At 48.1% G+C, this 9,073-nt stretch overlaps 1 pseudogene; it reads left to right on the plus strand.

The window, feature by feature from the left end:
* PIP5K1P2 (phosphatidylinositol-4-phosphate 5-kinase type 1 pseudogene 2) lies at nucleotides 4,753-9,073 on the plus strand (annotated as a pseudogene).

Consider the following 9,073-nt stretch of genomic DNA (forward strand, 5'->3'; position numbering starts at 1 on the left):
TGCTTTCTTTCCTCCAGCTTCAGAAGGAGAAGATGGGATTTCTGCCTGCCTTAGGGCAACAGGGCAGGACGTTCTGAGGACAGCCAGGCAAGGGCTGGGCCGTGACTTGAGAAACGGGTGCCCTGGGAAGGGTAGAAGCCAGGAGGGAGGTGGCACCCATCCTGGAAGTGTCTGCCAGCTGTGAGGATGCTCCCACTCAATGTGTGTGTGTGACAGCTGCACAGCCATCTGCTAATGATTTGTGGTTTAATATGATTTAGGATTTTATATCTGTGTACTATACACAGTACAGAATAAGAGTTTATGTTAAGCATATGATGGATTGACTATTAGAGGGCTTTGAAGACACATAAATGCCTGCAGGAGATTCGGAGCAGGCCTGGCCCAGAGTGAGGGGCAGTTTGCCACTTTCTTTGAGGCCCCCAGGCTCCCTCTTAATTTCTTTATAATTGGTTTAGTCACTGTGGGAGCAGACAGGAAAGGAGGTCAATTCCTTAGGTGTTTTGAGAGGACAGAGGTTAACACAGAGCTCCCTGCTCCTGATCAGCCGTGGGTAACCCGGAGGAAGACACCCTGACGAATCCATCTGATGCTGGGCCAGCACTGTAAGAGGCCCGGGCTCATTGTGGTTGGAGTAGCCTTCTCCTTCTCTCCTCCAGCTTCGAGATGTCATGTTAATGCGGCTATGCTGGTCACCCTCCAAGAAGGCCTAGAATCTCCACCTAAGGGCACTGCAGGCCCAGGGTTTGCAATGGACCCTCCATCCCTCATCCTGGACTGTGACAGAGACATGCCTGCAAGTCGCTTCCCAACCTGCCCATTTCTGACCTAACGCAAGCTGTTGAACGGCAAGGGTGGCTGCTGAGTTTTCAGAATTGTGCTAGAGGCCCTGGTAAGAGAATCTGTGACCCTGAGGAAGTTTTCATGGGCTCCCTGGAGAAAGGGGCACTTCTAATGATTCCTCAGGTCGACTCAGCATTGGGTGGGTCACCAGCCTTGGAATTCAATCCCTGAATATAATTTGTTTGACTAACAAAAATTTCTAAAATGTGTCCAAGTGTTCCAAAAATAGAAGAATGTCAACTCAGATAAAACACCAAATAAAGAAAGTGCTCCATGTTAGCTGAACTTCATGTACTCCTGGATTTGTATTGGATTGAGATGGATAAAGTCAATGAGATGGTTTGTTTCTGTGGAGGTGGAATTCAACATGGTTTTCGGTCTTCAGTGTTACATAAAAGCTGTGGGAGCAGAGTCCAGGAAATTGCCCTGTGCTTCCCTCTATAAGAGCACTTAACTGTTGGAATTGCATGTCTCTGTTTAGGATCAGATGTGAGCATTCCGGAGAAGAGGCCCTGTCTCACTCAGCTTGGCATTCCTAGGGCACCGCCTGGCACCCACTCAAACACAGTGCACGTTGAGGTCATTAATTAAAGGATGACTAATCTATCAGGTGGCTGCTGCACTTGGGCGCTGATTAAGACTGTGCTTGAGACCTTTCTGAGTCTTCTTTTGTAGGAGTCCATTATGAGAGGAAGGCTGACATCAGGATCTGCCCACCCAAAGCCCCACACCCCTACAAAACTTCAGTCGGTTTTTGAGAAGGGCTGACTACCTCTCACCAAGCAACCCAAATTCAGGCTCAAGCTGTGACAGTTAATGCTTTACAGATTATGATCTAATTTGGAAAGATGCTAATTTTAGTAAAATAAATCTACTTCTTCAGAAACTTGAGCCTTGACTTTAGAGCATATTTTGGCCTAAATCTCTGTTTTGCTAGGGCATTAGAATTTCTGGCTTCTGTAGTGAGTTGGGGTGCTGAGGATGGGTCAGGCTAGGAGGAGGATCCCATATCAGGGAGAAACACTTGGTTTTTGTGATAAACAAGGGACGGAGAGGCTCATTCTGACTCTGCAGTGTGGACCTCTCAGAACTGAAGCATGCAGCCGATCCCTAGCAGATCCTAGACCGGGGCGGGAAGTTCATAAACAACAATTACGATGGAGAGAAGCATCCTCTCCGCAGTGGACAGTGAACTCGCAGGGTCCCCTGGATTGCCAACCCTGCTCATCAGCCACCACCCTTGTAGGATCTTTGCAGTGATTGGAGGATGGACTCGGATCTTCTGCTGTCCTCGCTGGGCCCAGAGCACAGAAGTGGCTGACTTGGGCAAAAGGCAAGGCTGTCTTTAACATTTTTCTCCTCACTTTCAATTTCTTCAAGTGATTACTAATAATATTTATAGCGCTTCTATTTTTGCAAACTTTATATTTATAAAACACAGCCATATGTGTTACACATTAATATTTTGAAAATATTAAGCTAATAGCTTTAAAAAAATTCTTTGCCTCCGTGAAGAGCATGCCCTCCAGTTGTCCTTCTGTCTTCTTGAAATCATGGAGGAGAGGGGGGCAAATCCACGTTGAAGAGAAAAGGCAGAGAAAGTGCCTCCTGCAGGCAGGGGAAGAAAAGAGAGCCCTTTGGCCTGGAGACTGGGAGGGAGGAGAAGCGAGACATCGGAGCAATGTGTCTTGGCTTCCGCTGCTGTTTACAGCGCACACTGAAATGACAGAGCCCAGGAAGGCTGTTGGACAGGCTAAGGATGATGCTAGATGCATAGGGATGTGTGCCCCATCCCCATTTAGAATTCTGGGAATAGGCCAGGTGCAGTGGCTCAGGCCTGTAATTCCAGTGCTTTGGGAGGCTGAGGTGGGAGGATCGCTCGAGCCCAGGAGTTAGAGACCCACCTGGGCAACATAGCAAGACCCTGTCTCTACCAAAAAAAAAAAAAAAAAAAAAGCGCACGCCTGTAGTCCTAGCTACTCAGGAGGCTGAGGCAGGAGGATCACTTGAGCCAGGAATTTGAGGCTGCAGTAAGCTATGATTATACCATCACACTCCATCCTGGGCAACAGAGTGAGACTTTGTCTTTAAAGAAAAGAAAGAAAAAAAAAAGAATTCTGGGAATATCCTTCATTTCACAGCCAATGTGTGTTATTCTAACAGAATAAAGATAGTGATTGGGCAAAGAGAGAAAGTCATTAGTCTTAAGTTTCCCACAGCTCCTGTGTGGCATGCTATGAAAGAAACCAGAAATATTCCATATCCTGGGCAGGGTACAGATAGGAGCTGAGCTAGAATATGGTGGGCCTGCCAAAGGCCTCCATAGAGAAGGAGCAGATTGCACAGTGGGACCGATGGAAGATACGATAGAATGTTTGAGATGTCTGCGTCCCCAGCAAGAGCAGAGGTCAGGCTGAGTTGGTGAGGGAGAGCTACCAGCCCCTGATGGAGACAAAATGATCTCTACCAATAGGAGTTCCCCAAAGTGCCATGAGTGGCCCAGAAATCGAGTGACACATGAATCCGCAGAAATACGTTTCCTGGGTGATTGAGCTGTCAGGGGTCTTGTTAAGGAAGAAGTGAAGAGGGCCAGGCCTTTGAGGTAAGACGGAGCATTAAGTAACCCCAGAAACACAGAGACGATATTCCTCGGTCATGGAGGACACAGAAACACACATGGAGGCTGTGCATAGCACATTCAAGGAATATAAGTAAAAGGGAATAATGAGAGACAACACTGGAGCAGGAGATACAGGAGGTTTGCAGAAAGCCTTCAGTGTCAAACAAAAGCGTGTGGACTTTGTGCTATGAACACATTCCCCAAAGGGTGTTCTGTAAAACACTTGTTCATTGAGTTAGTAATAAGTGTCCACCAAAAAAGAAGGGCGGACTCATAGATTTAAAATTTGGGAAACAATGAGTTATATGCAGTGAAGCAGGTATCTCAGCATCTTCAATTTGTTACTGTGCATTCTGAGAATATGATGGGAGCATATAGACTTGATCAGAGGGAAAACTCAAGCAGCAGATGCTGTCACACACGTTGAGTGGCAGGATCAGAGGACAAAGACTACATTGATGACTGAAAGAATGGGAATGAAAGAGACTGACTAGAGAGTTGTTAACTAACAAGAGTTGTCAGGGTGAGGTGTCTGACCCTGGGCAAGGGGGGAAGGGATGGGAACAGCCCAAGCTCATGATTGCCTAACCAGCAGGACGGAAGGTCCCAGCACTGTTTCCTGAAATGGGGTATTCGGAGGGTGCGCTGCTTCGGGATGAATTTTGGTGTTTGAATCACGACCAGACATGCAGGTGGAAACGGCCAGCAGGCAGTTACTGACTGAAGACCGAGGCTCAGGACAGAGGCTCAGGCAGAGATAGAGGTGAGGATCTGTGCACTTGGCCAGGACCTTAGGCCAGCACTGAGTCTCCAGGTGCGCCCTCCGCTCATGGTCTTGTCCTGAGGCACCTCGCTCATGCCTGTGCTCCTCAAATGTCACTGGCTGTGCTGGGTACTTTCTATTTTTCTCCCGTTTAAAAATGTCCAGTCCCGTATCCCAATTCCTAGGACCCAACTTTCCACAAAACCAGTGATTTTTCAGCTGTGGTCCTAGGGAACATCGGCTCTCTGCCCAGGACGAGCAGTGATTGTCCTTCCCTTGGAACACATAGTGAGCAAGTGATTTGCATATTGCATCTCAATTTTATTTTTCTCTCACTATTTTTTCTTAAGCCTTTGGCGCTTGCTATTACCAGTGTGTGAGCAAGTGTGACCAGATGGACAGCGAATGAGTGAATAAACATTAATTTAAATTAATTAAATTGATTATGTTCGATTTGACTGCTTTTTAGTGGATATCTAGGCTCATGATTGTAATTTCATAATAAAACCTGTTACCGCAGTGGTCGGATTTTTCTGGGCCACCCGAGTGGAGCGGCCGGGTTGGGCCATAAAGAGGCCGTGGCCGGAGGACGGAGCGGGGGCGTTCACTCCGCTGGGGCTTCTCATGCCACGTTTTTTCTCCAGGTGTGACTTGGTCGGACGCGGATCCCGGCAGCCAGCTGGGGCTTAGTCTTCTGTGAAAGAGTAAAGTGCCTCCTGCGGAGAGCGGGTAAACTCGCCAAGGGCCTGCGAGGCGGGAGTTCTCCCCAGGCCAGGCGAATGGGGCGGCCCTGAGCTGGTCTAGAGCCGGCTCCACGCGTCTGAGGGGGCCCGCGGGGCGGCGGGGAGGTGGCCCAGACGCGGGTTCTGTGAAGGGACTTGGGGAAGGAAGATTCCATTCGAGCAGAGGAAAAGCCGGATTCAAAGAGGCCAGGCCGCTGAGGGGAGGGGCTGCCAAGATGGCCGTCGGTCTCCTCAGGGCCTCCTCGGCGGTCAGTTTTTCATCCTTTGATCCAGGGGTCGCTTCCTGTACCTCGTCCTCAGCATCTGGAATCCAGAGACCTATGGCGTCTGAGGTGCCTTGTGCCTCGGGCATACCCATCAAGAAAATAGGCCATCGAGGTGTTGATTCCTCAGGAGAGACAACCTATAGAAAGACGACCTCATCAGCCTTGAAATGTGCCATCCAGTTGTGCATTACTCACACTGTGGGGAGCCTGGATCCCACACCAGAGCGTCATGTCCTCATGTAAGATTTCTGCGTGGTGGAGAATATCTTCTTTCCCAGTGGGACCCCTGCTCATCACTGCAGTGAGTTTCCTTTCAAGACCTATACACCTGTTGCCTTCTGCTACTTTCAGGAGCTATTTGGTATCTGCCCTGATGATGACTTGTACTCCCTCTGCAGTGAGCCACTGATTGAACTCAGTAGCTCTGGAGCTGATGGTTCCCTGTTACATGTGTCCATCCACGATGAATTCATTATTAAAACAGTCCAACATAAACAGGCGGAGTTTCTGCAGAAGCTGATTCCAGGATACCACATCGACCTCAACCAGAACTCTTGGACTTTGCTGCCTAAATTCTATGGACTGTGCTGTGTGAAGGCAGGTGGCAAGAACACGCAGATTGCGGTGATGAAGAATCTCTTACTAAGACTGGTCAAAATGCATACCAAATATGACTTCAAAAGTTCAACCTACAAAGAGCAGGCTTCCCAGAAAGAGCAAGAGAAGCCTCTTCCCACATTTTCCCACATTTAAAAACCTAGACTTCTTACAAGACATCCCGATGGTCTTTTTTTTGGATGCTAACATGTACAACGCTCTCTGTAAGACCCTGCAGCGTGGCTGTTTGGTGCTGCAGATCTTTGAGATAATGGACTATAGCCTCTTGATGTCAATCCACAACATAGATCATGCACGAGAGCCCTTGAGCAGCCAAACACAATGCTCAGTTCACACTTGAAGACCAGCCCCCCAAAGGGCTCTGTATTCCACAGCCATGGAATCCACCCAGGGAGAGGCTTGACGGGGCAGCCCCATGGAGACTGATGACCATATGGGTGGCATCCCTGCCCAGAATAGTGAGGGGGAAAGAATCCTGCTTTGTATTGGCATCACTGACATTCTACAGTCTTACAGGTTTGTTAAGAAGCTGGAGCATTCTTGGAAAGCCCTGGTATGTGATGGGGACACTGTCTCAGTGCATCGCCCAGGCTTCTACACTGAACGGTTCCAGTGCTTCATGTGCAACACAGCATTTAAGAAGATCCCGGCCAGGTGCCGTGGCTCGCACCTGTAATCCCAGGACTTTGGGAGGCCAAGGCGGATGGATCACCTGAGGTCAGGAGTTCAAGACCAGCTTGGCCAACATGGTGAAACCCCATCTCTACTAAAATCACAGAAATTAGCCGGGCGGTAGTGGCACATGCCTGTAACCTCAGCTACTTGGTAGGCCAAGGCAGGAGAATCACTTGAGCCTAGGAGGCAGAGGTTGCAGTGAGCCAAGATTGCACCACTGCACTCCAGCCTGGGCAAAAGAGTGAGACCCTGTCTCAAAAAAAGAAGAAGATCCCCTTGAAGCCTTCTCCTTCCAAAAAGTTTCGGTCTGGCTCATCTTTCTCTGGGCGAGCAGGCTCCAGTGACAACTCCTGTGTTACCAGCCATCGGTCTCAGGGGAACACAAGGCACAAACCACAACAAAGGCGGAAGTGGAGCCAGGTGTTCACCTTGGTTGTCCTGATGTTTTACCTCAGACTCCACCTTTGGAGGAAATCAGTGAGGGTTTACCTATTCCTGACCCCAGTTTCTCACCTGTAGTTGGAGAGACCTTGCAAATGCTAACCACAAGTACAACCTTGGAAAAGCTTGACATTGCAGAGTAAGAGTTCACCCATTGAGCACAAAGCCTCAGAAGACCTGAAACAAGATTCTGCCATCTCTGTGATCCCAAGATGTCAGCCCTTGCCCCAGCAATGCTGAGTTTTCTTCTACTTGCCCATTAAAAAGGAATGTAATGGAAGCGAGGGGAGCTCTCCATCTTCTTCCTGAAGAAGAACCTAGTCTCTTTCCCCTTCCTCATGAATGGGCATTAGTGCCTCAGACAGTTGAGGACTGCAGCAACCCCTCCACTCCAGAATTGGGTGGATGGATTTTCAATGGGCTAACCTTGGCTTTCACAATTGAGCTTTTTCAGACCCCCATTCTTCATGCTGGGAATGGGATGGCTGGACTTGGCAGTTTTCTTTCCCCTCATCTTTCACCAGGAGCTGGACTCATAATTTCCTCAGGACAGACTAGCTGGCACATTATACCCACCTCAGTTCTTTCTCTCTGATCCCTGGAAGAAGATCCCTGTAATCTCTGTAAAGGTTTTGAGGGGATAAGGGTGTTTAACCACCTCCCAACTTTCTTCTTTTTATTCTGAATAAAGGAAAAATGCGCACAGCACGCAATTTCAAGCCAGTTTCAGATCAAAACCCCAAAAGTGTTGACGAGATGCCTAGTCATAAGATTCCCTCAGAAGAACCATGGTGTTTGTGAAGAGAAGTGTGGTGATTGCTCTGCCAGGACAGCTCCTCTTTAAACTCCTCCTTTCTTGATGAATTTGTTAAGGCTGGAGGAATGGAGAGAGTGGGACATGGGGTAATCTTTACCCCTTTTTTTAAAACATGGGGCAGCCGTGGGCTGGGAGATCATAGCCCTTCCTAGGCAGAATCCTACTCACTGCCAGGGTGTAATGATTATTACTGTTTTGCAATTTGAAATATATTCGGTTGTTTTTGTAAATATGAAGACCTATCAAATGAATTTTAGATCATTCTCCAGAGGAGATTTCTTTTCTCTTCCCATCTTTTCCAACAGTGCTCTCCTGCTTGTGGAGCTAAGGTAGAGACACCTCTGTCTGTTTAACAGGCAGTCCATATCTATGAGGCTAGCAAATATTTTCTTTTCTTTTCTTTTTGAAACAGTCTCACACTGTCGCCTGGGCTAGAGTGCAGTGGCGCGATCTTGGCTCACTGCAACCTCCACCTCCTGGGTTCAAGCGATTCTCCTGCCTCAGCCTCCCAAGTAGCTGGGATTACAGGTGCCTGCCACCATGGCCAGCTAATTTTTTGTGTTTTTAGTAGAGATGGGGTTTCACTATGTTAGCCAGGCTGGTCTCAACTCCTGACCTCGTGATCCGCCCACCTCGGCCCCCCAAAGTGCTGGGGTTACAGGCGTGAGCCACCGCGCCCGGCCACAGATATTTTCTTAAACTCATGAGGAGAGAGCAGATTCTTGCCTCAGTGAAGTCATTGCTGTGCCATGTGTCCTACCCGCTGTCTTCATGCAGGGAGGTTGGAAATGGGGGCCGCATGTGCCCTCTCCTCCCATCTACAAGAGTTGTGGTTTCCCATCTGATCCTTCCACTCTTGTTAGGGGAGGAAGGGGGCCTGGTATCTCAGGCAGATTGTTGAATTCCTGTTCTATCCCTTCTCCTTCCCTACCTTGATAGTAGGTTAGCCCATACCCCAAATAACTGTCTATATTAGACACCCTCAGCCAGTTTCTGGCTGCCTGTCTGTTGCCATGTTCTTTTTTACAAGAAGGAAAGAAACAATTATTGCTATTTTTTCATAATTTACTATTTATGAAGTATTTAAGTGTTTTATTATGGATAGAGTTCTGTAATGGGTGGGAGGGAATATTTGAGGGAGGGCTGGGTCTTAAGGAAAGGAATGGGGAATCAACATTATTATGAAGTGTCTCTATTTGCCTCTACTTTGTATTGTTCAGAAATGGCCAATGCAATATAAAAGTGTTACATGGTTTTAATGTATTAAACTTTAATCAGTTTTTTAGA

Source organism: Homo sapiens, chromosome 7 (genome assembly GCF_000001405.40).
Source record: "Homo sapiens chromosome 7, GRCh38.p14 Primary Assembly".
Taxonomy (NCBI): domain Eukaryota; kingdom Metazoa; phylum Chordata; class Mammalia; order Primates; family Hominidae; genus Homo; species Homo sapiens.